The 27,885-nt window shown below is 38.1% G+C and overlaps 1 protein-coding gene and 1 long non-coding RNA gene across 14 annotated transcripts in view; one reads left to right on the plus strand and one right to left on the minus strand.

The window, feature by feature from the left end:
• Nucleotides 1-25,959, plus strand: part of LOC105375724 (uncharacterized) — a 141,651-nt gene extending 115,692 nt beyond the window's left edge. For both annotated transcript variants that reach the window (XR_001746057.2, XR_001746062.2), the window contains 2 exons: nucleotides 22,474-22,588; nucleotides 22,717-25,959. This is a non-coding gene — a long non-coding RNA (uncharacterized LOC105375724). The remainder of the gene's footprint in view (nucleotides 1-22,473; nucleotides 22,589-22,716) is intronic.
• The window catches only part of SAMD12 (sterile alpha motif domain containing 12), a 490,139-nt gene that overhangs the window by 265,250 nt on the left and 197,004 nt on the right, over nucleotides 1-27,885 (minus strand). The gene's annotated exons all lie outside the window — the stretch shown is intronic.

Consider the following 27,885-nt stretch of genomic DNA (forward strand, 5'->3'; position numbering starts at 1 on the left):
ATCCAAACTGCCCACATCTATGAGATATTCAATAGAAATACAAAGTGGGCATGTTGCTATACAGGCTGGAGCTCCAAGGAGAAGTCTGGTTTGAGGTTTTAGCTTGGGAGCCACCATCATTAGAACTGACATACAAACCCACAGGCAAGAAGAAAGCAAGTGTGATCACAGGTCTTAGGACTGACATCCCTCGAGGAACTGAGGTCCTGAGTGGGTAGATCAGTGAGATGAACCAACAAGGACACTCCCAAGGGGCGACAAGAGACATGGAAAAAAATCTGGGAGAATGAGATCCCAGAGAAGTATGGTTCAGGAAAAAGCAACTGGTTGTCTGTTGAGTGCTGATAAATCTGGCAAGGTGGAGTCACTAGAACACACCTTGCAATATAAGGTCCTTGAAGCACAGAAACCCCAAGTCTACAGATTGTGGAACAGTGAAGAGTCTAGCGTGTCTAGGTCACTCGATAACTGAGTTTTTCTCCTAGGGTAGATATCTTTTGTTTGACCCCACATAGGTAAAGAAATTACATTGAAATTGAACCATAAACCTTTCACATCATCAGTATTATAATAAAAACATTATCATCACAATTCATTCGAATTATGCTGGGCTGGGTATAACTATGAACAATTTCTCATTCCTTAATCTTTGTGACAACCCTCTGGGTAGGTTCAACTATTATCCCCATTTTAAAAATGAGGAAAATGGGACTTGCAAATTAATTAATTAATTAATGAGACTGGGTCTCGCTCTGTCACCCAGGTTGGAGTGCAGTGGTGCAATCACAGCTCACTTCATCTTCGACTTCCTGGGCTCAAGCGATCCTCCCATCTCAGCCCCGCAGTAGCTGGGACCATCAGCACATATCACCATGCCTGGATAATTTTTGTTTTAGTAGAGACAGGGTTTCACCATGTTGCCCAGGCTAATCTCAAACTCCTGGGCTCAGGTGATCCACCTGCCTCGGGCTCCCAAAGTGCTGGAACTACAGGTGTGAGCCACCACGCCAAGCCAGGGCTTGAGAATTTAAATAATATGACTATTGCCCAGGTGTGGTGGCTCATGCCTATAATACCAGCACTTTGGGAGGCCGGGCAGATCATTTGAGGTCAGCACTTCAAGATCAGCTTAGCCAACATAGTGAAACCCCATCTCTACTAAAAATACAAAAATATTAGCTGGGCATGGTGGCACATGCCCATAATCCCAGCTACTAGGAAGGTTGAGGCAGGAAAATCACTTGAACCTGGCCGATGCAGGTTACAGTGAGCTGAGATCGTGCCACTGCACTCCACCCTGGGCAACAGAATGAGAATCTGTCTCAAAAACAAAATAAAAAAATAAAAAATAAATAAATAAAATGGCTACGATCACATAGATAGCAAATGACAGAAGAATTCTGGATTACTGTTTTTCCAGATCTAAAGCTTATCTTCTCCATCCCCTCTGCTGCCTGGTCTTTCTCTGCTTATATGAAGAGAACTTTTGGAAAGAAAGAGAATCTTTCCTTATCTTCTTATTTTGAGGCCTCATTAAAGTACCATCACTTCCACTTATATACAGTTCTAGAAAAACCGAACTTAACTGCTTGACAAAGTAGATCAGTGGAATTGGGGGAGAAAGGTTGTGAAGAGAGAGTTGGATTAAAAATAAAATGAGGGAACTTTGGGAAGTGATAGTCATGTTCATTACCTTGATTGTAGTGATGGTTTCACAGGTATATTCATAGGTCAAAACTCACCATACACTTTAAATATGTGCAGTTTATTGTGTATCAGTTATACTTCCATAAAGCTGTTTTTTTTGTGTGTGTTTGTTTTTGTTTTGAGACAGGGTCTCACTCTGTCATTCAGGCTGGAGTACAGTGGCACAATCACAGGTCACCGCAGCCTTGACCTCCTGGTCTCAAGTGGTTCTCCCACCTCAGCCTCCCGAGTAGCTGAGAATACAGGCACAGGCCACCACACCTGCTAATTTTTAAAGTTTTTAGTAGAGATGAGGTCTCACTATGTTGTCCAGGCTGGTCTCAAACTCCTGGCCTTAAGCAATCCTCCTGCTTCCACCTCCCAAAGTGTTGGGATTACAGGTGTGAGCCATCACACCAGGCCCGATAAATTTTTTTTTTCTTTTTTTTTTTTTAATAAATGACTGTGGAAGGGTGGAAAAGAATGAAAAAGTGTGAAAGACCAGATAAAAGTAGAGTTCAGATAACTTAGGCTGAATCAAACCACAATTCCCAGCAATAATTAGTTCTAATGATTGGTATGGACTTCATGTGGTGACACTTAGATCCTCCTTAAGGACTAAAGAACTCCCCAGCTGCTTGCTGCTGACAGCTGACAGTCCTTCTGGGAATTTCCTGGATCTAAGAAGAGCCACCTTGCTCAAGGTCATGTCTCTCTTCCTGTGAGTAGCCTGCATCCAACGACTGGTAGATGAGGGAGGCAGGAGGTATGAAGGTACCTGCCCCAGGTACCCTAGTTCCAACTCAGGATAACTTTGAAGGGCAGTCTTAGCTTCAGAGCTCCCTGTGGGGTTGGCAGAGGTCTCGTTGTGGCTGAATCACAGCCCAACTTCTTCTGCCCAATCCTGCTTCTTTCATTTCCCTCACAAGTATTGAACATGAGGACACCACCCAATAAACTTCTGAAAGTAGATTTCCTTCTCTGAGCCTGCTTCATGGGGAACCAAAGCACTGGCAGGGTTTCACTGGGTCAAGGGGTACCCAATCGATTGTCAGACACAAACATTCCATATTGTTTGTGATGGTTTTAAAACAGCCCAGGTGGCTTCACTATACCCTTTAGCAGGCTTCTAGGTTACCTGTCTCTATAGTTAGTAGGTGTGTGTGTGAGAGGAATGAAAGACTTTGAATAGTGGCCTCTGCAATACATAATTAGTAAGATAAATCTGCTGCTAAAAATTCTGTGTGTATCATCTATTGATTTTATGTGTGCCTCATTTTCCATAAAACACTATGAGCACTATATAATCACAGTGCATGATGTACTTGAGCACCATGTAAATCATAAATACCTATGTATGTATACACATGCATATATTTTCACACACACAAACATTTATGTGTAAACTGTTTTACAGAGGGCTTGTTCTATGCCAGGCACTGTGATAAGTGCTCGACACGAATTATCCCATCAGATTCTCATAGGTAGGCACAATTACTTTCTTCTCACTTTTCAGATGAGCAAACAAAAGCAAACTGGTTAAGGATCCTGACAAAGACTTCGCAGCCAGAAGAGGCGATGCCGTGGGTCAAATCTAGGACCACCAGATTTCAAACCTTATACTTCTAATCACTATATGACACTGAACATGATTTTAAGAAACTTTCTTACAAAAATGTATGAATTGGACAAGAGAGTAACAAAAACAGAGTAATTCACTGATCTCTCATTTTGTAGATGTAAGTTTTGTATAATGAGTTTCCATACATCAGGAGACACTTGGAAACATAAATAAGTCAAAGTTACAGACAATAAAGTTACAGAGAATTGTATTATTGTCCTCTGACCCTTGCAGAAGCTACATTTTTTTAACAATTGAAGTCAGCTTGCTTTTTACAACTGAAATGTTTTCCTTTGCATGCAGAGTAATGGAGCATAGCAGGATACATGCCTTCAGCTACAACAATCTGTAAATCAACACACACTCCACCATGTTGTGACTGTGAGAACACATACCCTCACACGCCAGGAGACAGCCTTTGTCAAAAGAAAGGCCGATTCCAATGAATACTGATCAGCCACTAAAAACAGAACTGAGAATGGAAAAAAAAATCTTATAACTGATAAATGTATTGCTATCATAACATCAACAGCTTGAATTCAATGAAAACTATATTGGTTAAATTAAGTCTTCCACATAAAGATGTCAAATGTTACAACTTCACTATTACAGTGAAGAATAGCTTCAAAATGTGCCTAAACTGAACAATTAGATGGCACCATCCTTACAATGATGTTATAGAATTGTTAGGTCTAAAACCACAAATTTCTAATTGAATATCAAATTTTATTTGGTTTGGGTTGTATTTTCCAGTGCCAAATCATCCCAATACAAAGCATCCAGATCATTTCTGTATCTTGCTTCTAATGAAAAGAAAATGTGTTTGCAGAAAATATTCCTAGAGTTCTCCCTTATTCATAGAGTACTTTGAAAACTGAACATGGCTGAAAGTGTGAATTTATAACATTTCAGATTTTCTTTGATTGTAAAGCAATAGTCTTACTGGTTCCTTTTCGCCTCAGGTCCTACATATTTCTGCATTGGATTATGACAGATCTGGGCTTTATTTATTTTAGAGACAGGGTTTGGCTCTGTCACTCAGACTGTAGTGCAATCATAGCTCATTGTAGCCTTGAACTCCTAGGCTCAAGTGATCCTCCTGCCTGTGCCTCACAAGTGACTGGAACTATAGGTGTGTGCCACAGACTCCCTTCTTCTTCTTTTTTTTTTTTTTTGTATAAACAGGGTCTCACTATGTTTCCCTGGCTGGTCTCGAACTTTGGCCTCATGCGATCCTCTCACCTCTGCCTCCCAAAATGCTGGGATTACAGGTACGAGCCACTGTGTCCAGCCAAGGGCTTCATGTAAAAGATCAAAAAATTTAAAAACTCATGAGGAGTTTTTAGATATGTGAGAACTCACTTTTAAAGTGAGTTAAGTCATGGGATGCATTGCTGGGATTGAACACACATACACAACCTTTGAAGATACTGGAGATTGCTCAAATATCTACTAAATGTGCTTCTGTATTTAACCTTGAGATTTTATTTTCAGAATGTCTTCTCATAACTTACACATGTATCCACACGATTTTCAATCTAATTTTTAAGATGAAAGTGAGCTTACTTGAGGGTGATTTACATTTCCTTTATTTCTTCCTTATAAATTATATGTTAAGCTTAATATTCTGATTTACAGAGCTCAGTTTCCTTGTCTTTCCATAAGAAAAAGGCATGTTTCCAAGGTTTTATTCTAAACAATCCACTGCATTTAATTATGAAAACCTATTGAACTTAGGGAAGTTAGAGGAGAAGAAAAAAAATCACACACCACAAAAGGAAATAATTTGGTATTACAAAATCATTGAAATTAGAGATAGAAAAGGCTTATTAGATCATATATCAAAGAAAGTGCATGCATTTGACACTCAGATTTAATATGCCAGAGATGTTGGGTCACCGGAGGTACTTCTGAGGTTTTGATAAAGTACAGAAACTAAAAAAGAACATTTAAGGAGCAGAGCCCTTAATAAAAGGCAAGATCGAAGTATGAGAGAGAAATACGTAAGATGCAAAGAAAAGGCAGATGGAGAAATAACACTGAAACATCATGGAGAAAACACTTTTTCCATGTTTTCTGCATAGAAATGTAAACAGTGACAAAATGTCCAAGGACTGAGGCTTATAAGGGGACTGCTCTAGCCAGAAAAGCCCCTTATGGGGTCAAAGACTGAAGGCTGTTATTGTGTGGATAACACCCCAACCTTTTATCTATGGAATGTCATTTAACCCTTAGAGATTCCTGGCCTTGTTTTCCTTCTAGTTAAGAGCAATGGGCAGCCATAAATATTCTCCTGTGTGTGTTGGGAGAAAGCAAGGGAGGAGATATGGCAGAAGGAGCCCTGTCTGATAATGTAAAAGCATGAAAGAACAGACGCTGGCATTCACTAAGACAATCAGAGCAGAATTACCCCAAAATATTAAGCATCTTCAGATTCTACTATATGACCTCTGATAACACAAATCCTTGGTAAGCCATCATCTTATTGATCTTTTATTGTTTTTCTTCATGCACACACACAAAAAATCTGATGCTAAAAACTAGTTGCTGCATGTTGCCCAAAATAGAGAAGCCAGCCAGAATACATAGTGAAGTTGGGTAAAAACTTGCTGATAAGCAATATCTAAAACTTACCCAAATCCCTGTCAAGAGTCTACCCACACAGCCTGCACTGTGAATTGGGTACTAAGCTTCTCTCGTGATTTATCACATATCTTCACACAAATAAGGCATCACAAATATCTGTCTGTGAAGGGAATGCTGCATCTTCATGACAGCCTTGCAGTTCAGTTTCTTCAAATTCAAGAGTATTTCCTAATTTCAACCAGGTCACTGTTGCAACTGGGCTAATGAAAACAAAGAGAAAGGAACAAAAATATGTCCTAACTTGCACAAATTGGACTAATTCTCAGTGAAAAGGGGGAATAAAGTCTGATATACTTTTATAAATATTATGTACAGTCTGTGTGTGTGTGGTGTATTTTTTTTTTAATAAGAGGCAGTATGGCAGAGTGGGTAAGAGTAGGATTAGGGAATAAGAATCCCTGGATTTAAATTCTAGCTGTTTCACTTATTAGCTTGGTAAATTGGAACATTATCTTAAGCTCCTTTATCCTTAGTTTCTAAAATAAAAAAAATTATAGTAGTATTTCTTTAACAAGGTAGTCATGAAAATGAGGATTAAATTCGATGATCCATATACACTTAGTACTTGCCACACAGGAAGGCCCTAGTAAGAGCTGCATTAAACTAAAAACAAAAACAAAACAAAACCCTAGTTTCTTAAAATAGATTGTGAATATCTGGAGAACATGACCTTACAGGGTCAACTTTAAAGAATGAGATTTGTCAGGTCTATCATGACATAATACAATGAAGTGCACCAGAGAAATAAATCAGAGGGAGAGGAAGCTCTGGAGAGGTAGTGAAACAACATTGTCATCCTTGTACAAAAAAGAGCGATTAACTTGAATCTAGATGGCCATAGCATTCTTGATGACAAAGGTATTTCCATATCTTTGCAATAGAGACAATATACTGCCTTTGGTTTCCAGCAATATAAGTCTCAGTGTCATGTGTTTTGCTTGATAGATTTTTGGTACCTTTATTTTTTCTTGAGACAGGGTTTTGCTTTGTCCCCAGGCTGGAGTGCAGTGGTGCGATTGATTCTGGCTCACTGCAGCCTCGACCTGCGGGGCACAAGCAGTCCTTCCATCTCAACCTCCCAAGTAGCTGGGACTATGGGCATGTGCCACAATGCCCAGCTAAGTTTTAAAACTTTTTGTAGAGATGCAGTCTCACTACATTGCCTAAGCTGGTCTAGAACTCCTGGGCTCAAGTGATTATCTCACCTTAGCCTCCCAAAGTGCTAGGATTACATGCATGAGCTACCATGCCTAGCTGATTTTTGTTATTTACCTTGCTTGGTATTCTCTGAGTTTCTTGGATTTGTGCTTTGATATCTGCAATAATTTTGCAAAATTCTTGGCCTCCTGAAGAAAGTTCAAATACTTTTTCGGTCTCATTCTTTCTTTTTTCCATCTGGAATTCCAATTACCCATATGCTAGACCATTTGATGTGATAGGTGGTTGAAATAGTCTGAGACAGTCCTGATTTCAAAGCACCTTGATTGTTTGCCTGAAAATGCAGTCATCATAGATTGAACCCACTTTTTCTTAACTTCCATTTGGAGTTTGTGTTATTAAAAAGTTTAAGTAGTGGCATACAAACATTAATGCCATAAGAGTTACCAAAGGAGTGGTATATATGCAGATTTCACGGGCCAGAATTCTGACTAAGTGACTCTAGTGTGAGGCCTGGGAAAATGTAGCTTTAACAAGCACCATAAATGAGGCTGAGAAAGGGTCATCTGGGGATTTTACTTAGAGAAATATCAGCTCTACAAGTCCATTACTTTTTTTTCTACTTGTAATACGCTTTTCATGTTTTTATTATTTTTAAGAGACAGGGTCTTGCTATGTGAGGCCAGGCCTGGTCTTGAACTCCTGGGCTCAAGTAATTCTCCCACCATAACCTCCCAAAGTGTTGGGGCTACAGGCATGAACCACCATGCCCAGCCTACTAATGGTACCCTTATAAGCTCTTCCTGAACCTGTACTTTCTTTCATTCATCTTAAAACTGTCTTATTTAATTCATGAATGGATTATTCTTACAACTGCACCAGAATGGATAAAAGTAAAAACACTGACAATCCCAAGTGTTGACAAGGATGTGGAGAAACTGGAACTATCCTACAATACTGGTCAAAGCATAAACTGAAATAATCTCTTTTGAAAACTTTGGAGTATCTATTAAGCTAAATATACACAAGACCCAACGATTCCATTTCGAAAATGAGTGCTCATTTTCACCAGAAGTCATGTACAAGAAAGTTCATGACAGCTTTACTGGAAATAATCCAATGTCCCTCAGCAATAGAATGGATAAATTAAAATATAATTACACAATGGAATGTTTCAACAATGAACAACAAAAACTACAGCCATACTCAACACCGATAAATCTGAAGACGAAATGTTAAGTGGAAAAAAACCAGGTATAAAAAAAGTTAATGAAAAAGCAAAAGCGATCTACAGTGGCAGAGGTTAGAATAGTGGTTACCTTGGAAGACGTCAACTGGAAGGATGCACATGGGAGCCGCTGGGGTTCTAGAAATAGTCTTATGTCTAGATCTGAGTAAGGTTTACATAAGTGTATGCACATCTGTAAAAATTTATTGAGCTGTACCTAAGATTTGTATACTTTACTATTTATAAGTTATACCAGAAAACAAAGAAAGAAAAGGAAGGGAGGGAGAGAGAAAGGAGGGGAAAAAATGGAAAGGAAAGATAAACCATTTTGTCCTAGAATTTGAAAGTGTGAAAAAGTTTAAAACCCCTTTGGGTCCTTGCCACTAATGGTGTCACAGACTTTATGATGTCCCTTCTCAGCTGTCATATTTCCAGGCTATAAAGAAAGCCTAGGTGGAGATAATATTTTCTGTAAATAAATGTTAACAGTAGATGGAAATCATATGTGCAAACAGATAACAAGAAAAATATTGTTTACTTTTTTTTGGTTTTCTCTCTATGGCCAGTCATAAAAAATATTTTCCACAGAAGAATACAGCAAGGTTCAATGACAACAGGAGGCTGAGAAATGTTGGTTTAACCAGGTTATATAAGCTGGATTGAACCAAATCTAAGTATTTTCCTCCTACTACAAAAGAGAAGAGTCTTAAACAGGATAAATACATAGGACCCTCCCTGACATGCCTGTCTCTAATATTTCTTATCAGGAAATTAGATTCAAACAAACACTATGGATTCTTTTTTTTTTTAATGGTAGAAATATATAACATAATTTACCATCTTAACCATTTTATTTTTATTTTTTAAAATTTATTTTTGAGATGCAGTCTTGCTCTGTCACCCAGGCTGGAGTGCAGTGGTGCGATCTCGCCTCACTGCAACTTCTGCCTCCTGGGTTCAAGTGATTCTCCTGTCTCAGCCTCCTGAGTAGCTGGGATTACAGGTGCCAACCACCACACCTGGCTAATTTTTGTATTTTTAGTAGAGACGGGGTTTTGCCATGTTGTCCAGGCTAGTCTCGAACACCTGACCTCAGGTGATCCACCTGCCTCGGCCTCCCAAAGTGCTAGGATTACAGTCATGAGGTACTGGCCCAACCTCTTAACCATTTTAAAGTGGACAACTCAGTAGTGTTAACTATATTCACCATCATTGTACAACAAATATCCAAAAATTTTTTCATGTTGCAAAGCTGAAACTCTATGCCCACTGGATAACAACTCCCTAGGCCCTGGCAACTACCATTATACTTTGTTTCTTTAAGTTGGATTACACTAGGTACCTCATATAAGTGAAATCATGCAGTATGTGTCTTTTTGTGACTGGCTTATTTGACTTAGCATAATGTCCTCGAGGTTCACCCATGTTGTAGCATGTAACAGAATTTCCTTCATTTTAAAGCTTAACAATATTCCATTGTGTGTGTGTGTGTGTGTGTGTGTGTGTGTCTCCACATTTTCTTTATTTAGTCATTTGTTGATGGACATTTGGGTTACTTTTACATCTTGGCTATTGTGAATATTGCTGCAATAAACATGGCAAAATCTCAGGAATTACCACTAAAGAACTTATCCAAGTAACAAAAAACCACTTGTTCCCCCAAAACTATTGAAATAAAAAAAAACTATTAAGTAACAACAACAACAACAAAACCATGGGTGTACAAATATTTCTTCAAGGTTCTGGTTTCAATTCTTTTAAATATGTATTCAAGAATGGGACTGATGGATCATATGGTAATTCTATTTTTAATTTTTTGAGGAATCGCCTGTTGATTTCCATAGCAGCTGCACTATTTTACAATCTCAACAGTAGACAAAGTTTCCAATTTCTCCACATCCTTGTTGACACTTGTAATTTTCTGTTTTTCAATAGTCGCCATCCTAATGGCCATGAAGTGACATATCATCAAGGTTTTGATTATTATTTCTCTAATGATTAGTGATATATATTAAGCATCTTTTCATATGCAGGTAACACTATGCATTCTTAAGGAAAATAAATCACACAATGATCAAGTAAACCCAGAGGGGAAAATGTTGGTAGAAGAAGGAGGTTAGCCCTATTTTTGCATTCATTAAGCTAGGAAGAACTATGTATGGACAAATGCCTCAGCCTTTATTTATTTATTTTTAAACTAACCAACTAGGAATCTCCTCCTCTTTGACAAATGTCATTTGGAAAGACAGTCAGTGAAGTGGGTCCCAGGTGATTTTTGGTGACAGTTTCCCATTGCTGCTTCCAGATTATTATCAACCCATTATCATAAAAGACATCCTTTCCCTTTGGTGTTATGCCTTCCTCCAATTGCACCTTTGCCCCTTTTTTCATTTGACAGCTTTTCAGTTAGTCACTCACATTCCCTGAGGAACATGGATCACAGACTCATTTTAATCTCAATCCTACTCTCTATCATACAAATGAACCTACTATCTTACTATTAACCCTTTTCAACTACCCACCCCCATAGCCATACTCTGGACTTCGTTCTCACTGTGAATGATTCGAGCTCTTAAAGTTGAAACTTTATCACAACCTCCTATGTGACCAGCTGTTCTCACTCCAGCTAATCCTGTCCTTTCACTGTATACACACTCAAGTTCCCTGTACCTCCTCTTTACCCAAGTTTATACACTTCCTCCCGAGTTCACTTTTTCACTCCAGTCCTACACTTAACTCCATACCAGACTCCCTTGATAAGTATCCTCAAACTCAGTGCCCCTTGTATACATGCTACAAAAGACCAGATAAATGTCAAAGACTACACCATCTGCTTTCTCAATCTACACACCACTGGAGAGAAATTTCAATAGTGTGCAGACTGTTGCCAGTACAAGTTAAGTCATGGTCTCTATCCTCACCTAGACGTCAAACCCGCTCAGCAGTTCTTTGTGAGTGTCTTCCCCACTCTGCAACTTTATTCCAAATTCTACAGGATCATCAGCCTCCATATCTAACCACTACCTGCCATCGCTTTCAGAGAGAAGTGTTCTGCTTTGGGTCGGAGGTGGACAGAATAGTCAAGTTTTCACCTTCTTAATAAGGATTCTGGAAGAAGCAAGGTAGTCTGCTATCTTGGTTCTTCCAACTTAACAAGCTGTTTTGTTTTAGCAACTCTATTCCATAAAACATCATTCTTAATAAATACTAACTGCTTTTAGTTTTAAAAGCTCCATTATTTGCTAATTTAAAAAACAATCCACTCAGTTAACCATCAAGAATTATTTTACTTCAAACAAAGATCAAAAGGCCATAGTGGCTCAAAGGAACATAGGAAAAGCCTCTGCGTCAGAATTTTTAAATTTAATCCCAGGGTAGTTTTGTCTTCTCTATGTGGCCTTTAGCTCACTTTGCCTTAGCTCTCCTACTAAAAAGAGCAAAGAAGATATTAATCCTGCTAACTCAACTTAGCTAATTATTGAAAAAATTAATTTTGTTTGTTTGAGACAGAGTCCCACTCTGTCGCCCAGGTTGGAGTGCAGTGGTGCACTCTCGGCCCACTCCAACCTCCACCTCCCGGGTTCAAGCAATTCTCCAGTCTCAGCCTCCCGAGTTGCTGGGACTACAGGTGCATGCCACCATGCCCGGCTAAGAAAAAATTCAATTATTTATGGGGCTGTTATGAAATGTAATATCCAAGAAATCAAGATGAAGTTACAAATGGGAAGGGTGTGGAGGGGAGGAAAAACTGTTAATCTTCACTGATACAGAAAGTTAATTTTTCAAATTAGCCTCCAGTGGGAATGCAATTTATAGGAAAATAAGTCCTAATCTTCCACAATGTTTTGACTAGATCATTGACGAGATGAGTTTTTGAGAACAACTGTGTTTCTACAATTTTCTTTTTGCTACAGATGGAGCAATTTCATTGTTCATTCAGCAAATACTGAGTACCTACTTGTGTCATTCTGGTTTTTAAGGATTTATTAGCCCAATATATGTTTATTGAATGTCCCCTATGTCAACTGCTTCACCGCTTTCATTATGGTGTATATTTGTACCCTGGAGTTGGGGGTGGGGGGTGGGAGTGCCAGATGATTCATTAGGATATGACAAGGAAATAGACTGTATATTAAAATTTATTTACTTTTTATCTAAAGAAATAAGATTAGTTGGAAGGTCAGGATGTATAAAGTATTCCCAAGAGAGGTGATAAATCCACAGGCTTAAGGTGAAGGCAGTGTTGGCCACACTCACTGGCTCCTGATCAGTACTGGGATGTACTACTTACATGTACCTGGCTAAATGGCTTATAATATCTAGTTTTGACTAAATTGGCTCACATAAAATAGACTCAAAGTTAAAATAGTTCTTGAAAACCAGTAAGATAATGAAGCTGGCACATTTCACTCCAAAGTAAAACATTTAATTAGCTGCACTAATCATGTAAAAGCAACAATAATGTTCCACTCTTTAAGAAGATGGCCTCTGCATTCAAAATTATCAAGAAAGACTAATTTATATGTTTATTTTATCCACCATTGTTAACTATGAATGTCATCATAAAGTACACGTATATCTTTTTGGCTTAAAAAGTTAGCTAGCAATAATATGAAGACATCACAATTTGCAAGATATTTAAGAATATTTTGTCTTTCAAGATCCATTTATTTTTCTATTTAGAAATGTTTTTCCATGAACATAATAATGAGGTTATTTATTGATAAAGAGTATATCTAAGGCTATTTACACATATTAAGGGTACATGTTCAAAACTGTTTACACACTGGGATGTGTGATAAACAAATGAAAATGCATGAAAGAGACTGTAGAAAATGAAGGTTGAAAGGGAGAGAGTTGTCCTATTTCTCACTGACTACAAAGGAGTAGGGTCAGTCTAAGCTCAAGTCCAGATATTTTTCCAAGGCTATGAAAAATTTCTCATATGGAATATTACTTGCATTAATGGTCCATACAGTGGTTTTAAAACACAGACCTGAATACTTTGACATTTCTCTCATCAAGAGTTAGGGACGATATCTCCTGCTTCTTGGATCTGAGTGGGTTTGTGTTTTAACTATTAGACTTTGCTGTCCACAAAAGCCAATCACCATCTTCCTGGTAGTTGTGGGTGTTTGCTATGTTAGGAGGAAGATACCCACTACAGAAGAAGCTCAATTATCCTGAGACAGTCATGTGTGAAAGGCCATGTGCAGGTAAATGTTTCTGGCTAAGTCAAATCTTCTGAGCCATATAGCTAAGTGAGGCTTTAGTCTGTCGGCCAGGTGAATACCCGAGAATGGCTTCAGTTAACATTACAAGGTTCAGAAGAATCACTCAGCAGAGCCTATCTGAAGTTCCTTACTGATAAAAATCTCTGCAATATGAAAATATGGCTCCTTTTCAAGGCTACAACATTTTGGGGTTCTTTGTTATATAGCAATAAATAACTTTGACAGAATTTGTTATCAGAAGTGATGTGTTAATAAACTAAAACCTAAACAGGTGGCATTAACTTCGACATGAGGCAGTGGGTAAAAGATGAGAAAAACTTGAGGAATCTTTCAGTGAGAAAAGTGAGGAAAATGTCATCAGTAAGTAAGAAAAGTATTATTGGAGGCTAGAGGAAAGAAGACTTATAAGTGGTAGACATTTTAGAAACACTGTTGAGTATAGTATTTTAGAAAACATAAAATGTGCTAATGATTTGAAGAATCTAAGTACATTTCCAGAAGAATATCAAAAGTTTCTTTGAACTGTGTTTTGTACGTTACAGGAAAAGACAGATGAGTTAAAAAAGGAAATTTGCAATTTTCAAGCACAATTTAGAGAAAGAAATAAAGGAGGCATTTACTCCTTGCTTAGTTCAAAAATAAAACTACTTCTTAACTCCACTGCTTCCCAGCAAACATCATCAAAGTAACAAAGGTTTTAATTAAGGGCAAGAAGATCAAGTCCAGGATGCTGTGAGAATGATGTAGGGTCACAGTGAGTGTGGACTCAGGGTATGACGATGAAACTACTTTTTAACATGTCAGAAGATTTAAGGGAGTATGTCATTGATCATTCTAGTAAAAATAAAAGCATCACAGGGATTTAAAAGAGTGTGACTTATAAATTATGTTTTAAAAGTAGGGCTTTGAAAAATCTTAAGGGCATTGTCCCAAAGCAGTCTCACAGGGGACCCACAATAGTTAAAGGAGTTTTGAAGATTTTTATGCATGTTTCTTTGTCTAATAGAGTGAATTCCAATAAGATTCCTGGAAAATCCACTAAGTTTTAAAGAGAACTGTATTGAAAGAGTATACTGACAGCTTGGACTAAAAGGGTTAGATACAGTATAAAAGAGGGCTTTGAACTCCTGAAATTCTACGGGGAGGGCTAAAAACACTGTGTGACAATTACTCAGCTATAAACAGAGGCTATTTCTTGTGAAAAAGGAAAAATGACTCAAATGGTATAACAACAAGTCTACAACAAGAGTTGGTCAACTACAGCCTATGGGCCAAATTTGGGCAGTGTCCTGGTTGTGTATGTCCAGTGATCTAAGGATTTTATATATTTTTAAAGGATTGTTTTAAAAAGAATAAATTTCAACAAAGACCATATGTGGCAAACAAAGCCTAAACATTTACTATCTAGCACTTCATAGAAAAAGTTTACTAGCCCTCACCTAGAGGGTAAAGCCAAGAAACACAGAGAATCATTCCCAGGAAGCAGTAATGGGCCGTGATCATAGCTGGTAGCCTGGGCCTGGCGAGGTTTCAGAATTAACACAGACCTGTGTCTTTTGTGGTTAACCTATGCCTATTCCTTCATTTTATGTTGGAGGACAGATAGTTCACTGATATTCAGATTGAGAGGAACTATACCTAAGGAATGGCATCTTATTGGAAATTTCATCTCAACCAGTACCTGATTTAGATAACAAGCCTGGACCTTGTGTCTGAGCTTGATACAGTAATGAGATGAGTCTTGGGGTGGGAGGGTCTTCCGAGGAGCTAAGAATAACTTATACATAAAATAGAAACAGTTCGTTGCTTGAGCAATGATTTGAAGACGTCTGAAAATTCTTTTATATTCCTTCTATAGAAAAGTGGTGTCTGTGTCCTTTCTCCTGGAAGTCGGGAGCATGGAGGATTTGTGTCTGCTCTAACATATGGAGTATAGCAAAGGTTACTGCATACATTCCCAGACTAGGTCAGAAAAGGCCATGCAGTTCCTGTCTAATTTTACTCTGGATGCTGTCTTGGACCTTCTAGGGCAGTCCACCTACCAGCTGAGGTACCACTGATATCATTAGGATGAGTAAATTCCTCAGCCAAATCCTTCCTGAAATCTTAACTCACAGAATGTAGGAAATATAATAAAATGGTTGTCATTTTAAGCTACTAAGTTTTGGAGCATTTTGTTTTGCAGCAATAGGTAGCTGAAACAGTTCACTATGGATGTACAGAATATGCTTGGCAGTGGGGTGGTACTGGGGCCCTAGCTATGTGACATGCTTTGGCCAATGGAATGCTAGCAAATGTGACACAAGTAGAGGCTTGAAAAGGACACGCAAGATTGGGATTCTCTTCTCTGGCACCTCCACACCATTGCTATGAGAAGGTATACCTGGGCCGGTCTGCTGGAGGGCAAGAAGCAAAGCAGAGGACCCCAATTGTTCCCAACATACTGGTAGAGTCTGTCCTACATAAGTCAACAGCCAGCTGCCTCACAGACAAGTGACGGAGCCCAGCCAAGACCAGAAGGTCCACTCAGCAAATGTAGCCTAAATCACCAGGAGACAAACTTGTGAGCTAATTAATTATTTATTGTTTTAAGCCACTCATTTTGGAGGGTGTGTGTTATGTACCATTTCAGTAGCAATAGACAGTACAATAAAGATTTTTATTGCAAGGTGCTTTCCTCATAAAAACACTGTGTTTCTAATCATAGAGTTGTGTGGACTGTCTCTAATACACTTGGCATATTTAATCTGCTATTTTATCTTAGGCTGCCTTTTCCTTCCAGAATGTCCTTTACCTTCTTTCTGCCTTTCCTAATCCTACATAGCCTTAATGGCCTAGCTTAAATTCTGCAACCTTAGAATCAGCCTAGAGCACTGCATCCACAATGGTCTTATCTCTGGATTCTTATAGAATTCATTTCATATATAATTCTCTTGACAATTAACTGTAGATTGCTTTGAGATCTATTTAACTTACTTTTGGGTTTCATTTCTCCCTACCTATATTTTGAGATCCCTGAAGACAAGTGTCTTGTGTCATACTACTTCTCACCCTTCATCCCAGGCTCTATGGCATGTAGCCCAGTTTAAAGCACGTAATAGGTGTTCAGTAAATATAGGAAGAAGGCAAAGAAGAAGCTATAGCTCTTGAAAGGATCTTAGACAGGGGGAGTCAACGAAATACACATTTTATAACATTGCTTATAGTCATTTCTATTACTTCAAATTTGAAAGATAATAGAACCCATTATGAAAGATAATTGAGCAATTTGGTGCAGGGTCGGGGGTGGGAGGAAAATCTGCTGAAATCTTGAATATTTTCAGTGAATCACAGTGTTTATGGGTAAAAAGGTATTAAACAATTGCTGTCAGGCTTGACTATCCGCCAAATGACTGATCATAATGGCATAGCTGTATTTCCCAACTTGGAGATTTTGCAAGTTATTAATAAACTTTGCAATATTTACCAGGTGTTTGGTTAACGCATGCGTATATAAAGAGTTAGCAAATATTTATATTCCACAGAAATCCTCCCACTGTATTTAGACATTTGAAAAAGAAGAATCATTTTCCTTTAAATAATTGTATTTCTTATGAAAGGGCATTGTATTTCCAAGAACCATAACAAGTGTTACTCTGCATCTTTTTGTCTCATCTTTCCTTCCATGGATAATGGGGAAGCTGAATTAGAGCAGTCACCTGCCAAAAATCACATTTTAGTGACAATGTACCACATCTAATTTTTTTTTAAAAAAGGAGAAATAGGAAATAATCTTTTAACATCTGTTGAGAAAAAAAGATAGTTTTCTTTATACCCAATCTACTTTAATTTTACTTTCAAGGAAAGGTAAGCACATGTATTAATTTATCTTTCCTCTTCATTTTGAGTAGGATTTAGCCAGTCCTTATATCCAGAAATTTAAAATGAGGCTAAATATGTATTCCATCATTGTAATAGACTTGTGATGAAGGGGAAGAGTTTGGTGGTGGGGTAGGGATTATCTTCTGAAGCCTAGTAAAGGATGGCAGTAATCCCTTTCATATTAGTCATAAAAAATTGGCATTGCTTGTACGGCAGTATGAGATAGGTTTGAATAACCCTATCCGCAAAGAATTTTCTAATTAAAAGTACAAGTCTAAAGCCCAGCTTCTGGTGTTCTCCTGACCTAGTGGCGACACTAACCAGAAGGACCCCTCCCTTTGCACAGAGTGGGACACTTAATACTGAAGCTGATTAATTTACATTCCTTTGCACAGAGTGGGACACTTAATACTGAAGCTGATTAATTTACATTCACATACAAACTGATATAATTTTTCAAAAGATTGTGATTAGTCATCTGTCACCTCCTCCTCGTGACAATTAAAACAGTAAAGCTTGCCTATCAAAAGGAGAATTATCCCAGGAATAACTGGGTGGATAAGGGATACCCACTGAAATCCCAAGTCATGCCTCCAGGGCGAGTATCCTACATTTAGCCTGTGTGAAAGCTCCCCCTAGAGGAGTTCAAAACAACTGCACAACACAACTGAAAGGTTCCATCACCAGCTCCTGTCCTTCAGAAGAAAAGGCAAAGGGAACAAAGTCTTCATAAACATTTCTGCCAAAAATTAGTTTACAAAAGTATTTTTTGCTTCCATCCAAGATCTTTTCTTATTCAACTGGCACCTCTAATATGAAATAAGACACAAATAATGAACCACACCACCATGCGAACCCTGTTGTAGTTAGGACTTACCTCCTTCAACCAACTGGAGAAAATGCCAGTGTAAAAAAAGTAAATAAATAACCTTGTCCTAAGGTGTGTGTGTGTGTGTGTGTGTGTGTGTGTGTGTGTGTGTAGACTACTGCCAATAATCAGTTGCTTTATATTCTAAAAATGACATGAAGGGAAAAAGATACTTCTTGACAAAAGCGTGTAATTAATTGAAAAAGATTTATTTGACTACATGAGAATCTGGAGATTCTACTGTTTATTCAAGATGAGCATACCATGCAGCTGACTCTTACTGAGGGTTTGAAAGAATTAGGAGATTTCCTTGTAGTCTATGGTCTTAAGTAACCATTCTCCTCTAGGATAAACAGGCTTCTTTTCCAAGTATGTTTTAAGAGTGAGCTATCTAATCTGCCCACATAAGTCAAATAAGCAAACCTCCGGGGCACATTCCACACGCAGAAGTGGCAGCTCACAGGTTGGGATCTGCCTGTTATGTGCTAAACTGAAGAGAGGGTTTCAACAGACTAATAGAGCCTGAGGCCTCAGATGATGACTCATATGGATCTTCCATTAAAATTGTCTAAACTAAACTGTTTTGATGTTCTCATTTATCTAGCGTGGCTTTCCCCCTTTTTTTTTCTTTAAAGTGTTTGGAGACATTTCTCACAGCACAGTGAAGAACAGACATCAGTGCTCAGTGTTATAAAAGGAGAATAGGGTTTTCTATCAGATTAGGGAAGCTGGGTTCCAATAATAGTTTAATAGTTCCTACTGAAGTAGAATCAAGGAGGCATCTTGCAGTATATACCACCCATCTAAATCATAGCATAACATAAATGCTGGATGTAGAGGAAAACAGAGAAAATGTTATATGAAGTGATGAGCTTCATAATTACGTTATCCTTAACCATATTAACTATTGTTATTATTATTAACTATTACTACAATAAGTTAATTGGACCTGGGAAAGAATTTAGGCTAACAGGCATCAACTCTTTTTTTCAGGGCATATGACCCAAATTCTGGCAAAGGATAATCCATAACAGCACACTTTTACTTAGTATATCTCTAACATGCCCTAGAGAGTCAGGTGGAATCAAGAAAATCTTTAAACTTGAGCAGAATCAAATAACAAAGACTAGTTTCATCTGAAATAACACTTTGCTAGTTGAAATAAATATTGCAGCTGTCAAAATTCCAGATAGAAGGAATTGTCCTACGTGAAAATCAAACCATCCAATGGTACACAATTTCATTCATTTGGGCTTGATTAGCCTGACCAGTATTACTCACGATAACCAGCACAATGGAACCCAAGTATAATCCCTGAACCCCACTTAACCTTATTCAGTGCATCCAAGCTTGTTTTCCTCCAGTATTTTCATCCAACTCTCTTCTTCCACCCCTTCAATCCTTAGCATCTATATGTATTTGAAGAGTAATTTGCCATATGTTATTTGTGATTTTACAATAATCTGATTTTGATGATTCAGTTAACTTTTTGCATTTTCGTTTCTCAAAGTGTTTCCAGATATTCCAGAGGGTTTTTTTTTCCATGTGAGCAAACTTGGGGAAAAAAATGCAGCAGATAAAAATTTCTGAACATCACCCCGGTTTTTAATTTTTATAAATGGAGCTAAGTGAAACTAGGTTAATGAAGAAATGTAGTGAACACATGTGTTTGTGCTAAAGATTATTGTTTCCAGAAGAATAGTTTTGTTTTTTGTTTTTTGGTTTTTTTTTTGAGACAGAGTATCTATTGCTGGAGTGCACTGGTACAATGACAGCTCCCTGTAACCTCAAATTCCTAAGCTCAAGTGATCCTTCCACCTCATCCTCCGGGGTAGCTAGGACTACAGGTGTGCCCCCCTATGCCAAGTTAATTTTTAAAAATTATTTTGTAGAGACAGGGTCTCATTATGTTGCTCAGGGAGGTCTTGAACTCCCAGTCTCAGGTGATCCTCCCACCTTGGCCTCCCAAAGTGCTAGGATTACAGTTGTGAGCCACTGTGCCCAGAAAGAGTTGCTTTTTGAAAGAAGGAGCCCAAATTCCTTCTTAGGCTTCTTTGTGTTTCCATTCTAGTAGATAGAGCTGGCCATCTAGTAATAGCTCAGCAAATGTTTATTGAGTAAATTAATGAACACTAATTTAAAGATAATTGAACAATTAGTAGGTAATGAATGATCTGTAAATTAGCAACTTATAATAAATTACAAATTATTTAGCTAATCAGTAAATAATTAAACTTCAATAGAGATAATGATAAAATATTCAGTAAGTAAACACATGGCCAGAATAAAAAAAGAAAATCCCCTAAAAATTAAAGATCCAAACCACAGAACACATGCAATGGAAAGAAATGTTATTATTTTCAAACACTGTAAGATATAAATGGGTACTGAAACAAAATTAGATAAATTACTGAACAGGGCAATTCACCATGCCATCTTGTATAATAATCTATCATTAACAACAATTTCTTTAATATTCATTTCCTAAATGCCCAATTTAGAATCTTAGTGTTAAAACATACTTGAGAGGTTGGTTTTCTATTAAAACTCCATTGTTTTGGACATGAGGCCTTTGAGCCCCATTTCAGATGTATGACCTGATCGAATATTCTTGGCTGGTGCACAGCTGACTTCCAGTTGGCTCATTCTTTCTTTTTTTATATTCTTTCTGCCCATCATCAACTTCATCCCTATTCCTTCGTGCCTACCGTCTGTGTGGTTTACTGTGGAATAGGACGATTTTTGTAAAATTGAGGTAGTGCGTCCAAATAAACGAATGCATACTTGTAACATTTATCTTTTTAAACTATGAAGTTTCAAAGCATTATACTATCGATTACCTTCCGAGCCTGGCCTGGTTTCACCCTTAGTGGTTTATGCAGCAGTCTTTTCTACTGATGCCTTTTACAAGAAACAGAGTAGACCTGTTTGTAGATTCAATTTATTCCCTAGCCTTTCTTTTTAAATGTACTAAAAACATCCAACTCAAATGTGTGCAGCCAGAGGTGATAAAGAAGAAGGGATATAGACTGCAAAAGCTCCCCAAAAGAAAAGCCAGGCCAGGCGCCATGGCTCACGCCTGTAATCCCAGCACTTTGGGAGGCCGAGGCGGGTGGATCACAAGGTCAGGAGATCAAGACCATGCTAGTCTAACTCGGTGAAACCCCGTCTCTACTACTAAAAATACAAAAAATTAGCAGAGCGTGGTGGCGGGCGCCTGTGGTCCCAGCTACTCGGGAGGCTGAGGCAGGAGAATGGCATGAACCCGGGAAGTGGAGCTTGCAGTGAGCCGAGATTGCGCCACTGCACTCCAGCCTGGGTGACAGAGCAAGACTCCGTCTCAAAAAAAAAAAAGAAAAGTCAGCCAGTTTCTTAAATAAAAAGCAGAAGAAAGGACAAGGATAGTTTTTCCAACCAGGAAATGTTTTTGCCACTATAGCATCCAATACATGATCAAAGAAAAACATCAGTAAAACATATGTTTTTCCATTGTTTCTAGTCCATCTGTCCCTGACATTTTGCTAATTATCTCAAAAAAGGATTACTGTATAATTTTCCTTTCTCTTCTATTTCTAATTAAAGGTAACAATTTCTCTTGGTGATTAATATCTTCCACATTAATAAGGAATGACTATGCCTGACATAATTTACATCATTCTAGATTCCTGGTTCTCCTAGGACAATCTCATTCTTGGTGTCAAAAGTCTTCCCCTCTAGTTTGCATGTTAACAGCATAGAAGGCTCTATTCTAGTCAACTGTGAATGTGCTGAGTATTTAATTGACAAAGCAAAAATGATGGAAGGAATTGTCCTTGAACTGGAAGCAGAAAAAAAAAAGCCTTAGGTGTCAGAGGAGCTGAGTACTGCCATCTGCTGGCTATGGGGTCTGGGTCAATTTTTCTTTTTTTTGTCGTTTTTTAATATCTCTGAGCTTCTAGATTCCTCATTTGAAAAGAGTTTCACACTAATATTCTATCAACAGGGGTCTGAGGTTTGAAAATGTGTGTGAAATATCACTTTATAAAGTTCAAGTATGATACAAATATCAGTGGGAAATTTCTTGTGGATAACAAAACCTGTAAGATTCTGGGGACTTCCTCAGAATAGTTAACTGAGTATGTTCAGGAAATTGTTTAGAGACACTAAGTGGCTTCCCTTTTATATTCTACAGTGGTACCGTTTTTCAGCCCCAGCCATCACTTCATCCTTTGCTCTGTAGCTTTCTTCATTTGTTGGGAGAGAGGCTATTCTTTTACTTGAACTTAGTGGGAGCTCATTTTGCAAAGGTAAGTATATCTTGTCCCCATTTTTCTATGTGCTGAACTGATCATCACTGTGAATGTATTACTAAGTGGAAGTTTTAAGGTTAAGATCCTTATGGAATAACTACAGCAGTCCTATCTTCCCCCACTAGATACATGCTTCACCATCCCCTGAAAGATTTATATAGAAGGACACTGTGGCAACATGTGACCTTTTGAAACTGCTCCCTTGGAAGGAATTCTAATGTCCTCCTGTCTATGTTACCTGCTGTGTACCTACCACTGGGGAAAGATGCTGAAAATTTAATGAATTGCAGAAAAGCTGTGCAAGCTTCTCTTTTGGAAGAACCTTGGAGAAGAGAGAGGCTGACAGAAAGAAAACTTTCAAAGAAATTACACTGCCCTCAAGGGTGGCATCTACAGAGGACAGTGACAGGGCCTTGGAGACGTATGATTTCTTCTGCTGCTCATTTACCTAGGTCTGTTTTCACTCTGGTGACTGGCCACAATCATGGGAAAAGTGAAGAAATCTGATAACTATCAAGGTACAAATTGCTAGAGAAAGAAAATCGGGACTCTTACAACTAAGGGCTAATTGATGTGGAGATGGAAGGTTTGTGGTGCTATGTTTTGCATGTGCCTCTGTGTGTGTTTGTGTGTGTATATATAGGAGGGTAGGAGGTAGAAGAATTCACAGTACAACCTAATAATCTGGGCCATGGACCCAGCCAAAGAAGCGGGGACAGGGGTTGAATGGAGAAGCACATGGGACCAGATGTACAATGTATCTGGAAAACAGACACATATACCGCATCCAGGGAATAACTGCAAACAGTCAAATAACATATTTTGTATTCAACCACTGACACAGAAATTCATGCACAATGTATTTTATTTTTTAGTGGAAGAGAGAGAACTATGCCACCCCTTTAAGGTATGATGCCATTCTTAGAAATAAATATTCGTATAGAGAAAACTATCTGAAAGGATAGATGTCAAAATGTTTACATAAGAGATTATTTCCGGATGTAAGAATTAGAGGGGAATTTTATATTTTTTATTTTTTGTGTATGTACAGTTTCTAATTTTCCTACATTTAGTATGTAAAAAGGAAAAAAAAGTAGCACATTTTTAGAAAAGAATTCTAAATTTCTTTTATAAATATCACTAAGGAAACAGATTTGATTTGGGCAAAGGGAAGAAGAGATTAGAATAGGGGTTGGCAAACTACGACCCTCTGAGCTAAATCTGGCCTGCCACCTGTTTTTGTAAATAAAGTTTCATTGGAATACAACCACTTCTTTCATTTATATACTACAAACATGGAGTTTAGCAGTTGTGACAAAGACCCTACGACCTACAAAGCCAAATGGCTCTCCTATCTGGTCCTTTACAAAAAAAGTTTGCCTAAACCCAGTTTAGAAGAATCCTCCTAATATGGTCTTACCTATTTTACCTTACTAGTTGTGTGAGCTTAGGGAAGTCATAACTTTCACACCTCAGGTTCCTCATGTGTAATGAGATGGATAACACATCTTAGACATTTTATGAAAATTAAATGATTTAATACATAAATGGTGCTAAACACTGTGTTTGGCATATAGTAGATGCTCAATAAATATTATGCTCCTACTTATTTTCTACTTCCTTTAAATAAAATGCATTATTCTGATTTCATGGCAAATCTAATGAAACTGCCATTTTTGCTAGTCAAAATTGTTCAATATTGGCAATTTTATATGGCTCAATGTAATCATACTTTAGCCATTTACTATTCTCATTGCTCTTGTTTAAGTTGTAATTGCTGAGCTTGTATCTATCAATGTCACCAAGGTAGTTTTAGGGTTAGCTAAATTGCCACAAACGGCTGGAAACCAAAATCTATTAATAGCATTGTTCTATCCAAATGTGGACACTTTGGGTGTATGAAACAAAACACTGTATTTGTATTTCACTTTGTTACTTGTGTAACACAGGGAAATCTGCATTCAATGCACCTATGGTGTGACAGATTAGGGCCTCTTTCCTGCTGCCCTAAATAGAAGCTTTTTAGATAAAGGATATTTGCTTCCACCCTACAAAACAGCACCTGACTTAAATTTCAGCAGACTCAGTGAGCTTTCACAGCACTGCGACAATCACTCTTGGCACTGAGCAAAGTTCTGACACAGTCTACCACAACATCCTGGGAAGAACTGCTGAAGGGAACATGGGGCTCAGGATGCTACAAAATTTGGAGACTGTCATTCAATCGCACTTGAAGATGATATTCTGGGGCTTAGTGCAGATCCAAAATAGGAGTTCTTTAAAAAAGTAAAATGGGGTTTCTCCAAGAACAAGACAGGAAGACCGACTGGAACATCAATGGAATGTAAGTGTAAGAAGTTGCAGATAGGGAAGTATAGGATGAGCTTCATGAAAAGGAGGCAAAATCAGGAAACTGAAAGACTAATCAAAGTATTCTTATCAACAGAAATGAAGAAAGGCTTTTAGTTCAGTGCTAAGACTATCAAAGGAAGAACAAACCCAATTTAATCCAATCAACACTTATTAAATGCCTACTTTATGCCAGGCACTGGGTTAACACAGCTAGAGATAGTAAGATAAATCAGACACAATTTCTACCTTAGAGAAGTTTCTGGGCTGGTGGGAGGGAGATAAACATGGAACCAAATAACTTTAATATCGTGATAAATGTTATAATACTAACAATAATAGCTGTCATTTATTAATTGTGTAAAATGTAAAGCAAACACAGAATGGAAAAATTAGTTTTGCTTGGAGAGGTCCAGAGAGGGTAGGGAGGAGGGGAATAATTACAGTCAGCACCTGAAAATGACCAAAAGTTCACGAAGCTAATACTGAGGCAAGAATGAGAGTGATGTGCTGTGGTTTCAGGACAGGATGGATTGTTGTAATGGTTAAAATGAAGCTGACGAAAAACCTCATAAGCCAAACTTAGGAATTGTGACGTTATTCAGTAGGCATTAATTCTCAATAAGCAGGAAGCAGTTTGGTTCAGTCCGGTTTAAAAAAGACAAGAGAATACTTTCCTAGAGAGCCATGAGGCAGGATCATAGGAAGAAGAGAGACTAAATGGTTCTGTCTGTGAAAATTTAGACCAGAAAAGTGGCAGTAAGAAGAGAGAAGAGGAGATGGATACAGGATGCAGCATGTCTTCAAACTGAAATGCAAAAGTGGAGGGAGACATTCTGAAGACCCAGAGGAGAAACAGATGAAAAGAACTGTGGTGTGGGAGGAGCAAGGGACGGTAGGCAAGGAGAAGACCACAGTTAGGTCACTGGCCTTGGGAAAGGGAACATCTTTTTTTCCTCGACCAGCCTGGGCAACACGGTGAAAACCTGCCTCTACAAATAAAAATACAAAAAAATTTGGCCAAGTGTGGTAGTGTGCGCCTGTAGTCCCAGGTACTCGGGAGGCTGTGTGTGGAGGCTCTGGGGCTTGTGCCCAGGGTATCGAGGCTGCAGTGAGCCGTGATGTCACATGTCACGTCTCATTAAAGGGTATTGAATGATACCCAAGAGAGGAAAAATCTGATTTCCTTAGCCTGGCCCTCAAAGCATTCTGTAATGTAGCTCACAACCTATTCTTCTGATCCATTTTCACCTCCTTTATTCTTCCCTCCTGAGGGTATAGATACCCAAATGTCTTCGGGACTCAGGCGGGTAACACACAAGGGGGTGAAGTGGCAGGGTCTGAGGCCCTGAAGTGGTGAGTCCATGGCTCACAGGACGTTATATTTTCTTTTTAAATTCACTGAGAGGCAAACAACATATATACACACAGAGATTTTAGAAGTTTAACGTTTATCTTGAGAGGCTTTACCTTCTAAAATTCTACACAGCATCAATCCAGCCTTCTCTAAGCAGACTTCCCAGTCAACCAGGCTTATAGACAAGAGTTCCTTCTCATGTCTTATTAGGGTTATAAGCATGTCCACCCCCATGCTTATTTTTATATCACTTACCTGCACATATAAGATGTTATCCCTCAGAGTGTACAGGTCAAAGCATGAGCTTTGGATTCAGACAGCCCTGGGTTAAAATACTGTTTTTGCCACCTCTGGGCTTGTATAACATGTGAAAAGCTATCTAAGGTCTTGGAAACTCACTTTCCTCATTTGTCAAATGATAATAATATTAATAATAATACCAACCTTAAAGGGTTATTGTGAAGATAAAATTAAACAATATACGAAAAATACTTCCTCGATTGCCTGGCATATAAACCCTCAATAAATATGTTTTAAGATATATGGTTTTCCCCAACATGATGATAATTTAAGGAAGGGCGAGAATCACATCTTCTGAATTCTTTCTACCTTGAGTTACTAGAGAAATATCTTGGGAGTATTCGATGCTAAGTATATGTTTAGGAAATGGGTTGATATTTAAAATAATCATTATTACTAAAAAACACACTGGGCAAGGCAAAATTTTCATGGGCTGGAGAAATTATCACTAATTGCTAGGTTTTAGGGCCTTAACTAGATTAGTGAGATGCTTCTAAACAATAAAAAAACAAAAATTACACACATAAGTATATGTGTATATCTACGCATTTATATAATTCTTTACATACAAATGTATATCTGTAACACATATATGTTTATAATTCTTTACCACTTGCAAAGTGCTTTCTCACAAACTTTGATGTGGAGTTCCTGCAACTACGGATCAATAATAATAGCCAATACCAACTTTATAAGATACGTATTATCATAATTTAATTTTAGGGAAAGGGAAACTGAGGCTCAGTGAGGTTAAACATACTTGGCGAAGGTCACACACCGTGAATAATGAATGGAATGTATTCTATTGCAGGTCACCACAGTCCAATCTTTCTCTCATCTTTCATAGGTATCAAAGATATGAAGCTTGCCAAGAGTATTCTAAACATTTAAGAGTAACATTACCCTACAGTTAATATGGGAATTGAAAAATATCTCTAATAAGAATTTCAACAGGGAACATGGGGGATCAAACGTAGTGTCCTAAAAGGATCTTGGCCAAGATCTCTTGAAGATAGTTGTGTTTTACTGAAACAGTGCCACAGGATTGTAAATATCATCAATCCTACATGTGTGGACTTCAGTTTCCTCCATCAATAACACATGACATCAGGCTCCTCACCATAAATGACGCCATCTAAAGGAAAAGAGTCATTGGTCTACTTAGCTGATTGCCTCTAATAGGTCTAATTTTTGATCTCCCAATAACATGCAGGCTCTGTAAGGATGGGAACTCTGACTTGACAGGAAGAGAGCATGTGGTATATTAATTTTTTTTTTTTTTTTTGAG

Source organism: Homo sapiens, chromosome 8 (genome assembly GCF_000001405.40).
Source record: "Homo sapiens chromosome 8, GRCh38.p14 Primary Assembly".
Taxonomy (NCBI): domain Eukaryota; kingdom Metazoa; phylum Chordata; class Mammalia; order Primates; family Hominidae; genus Homo; species Homo sapiens.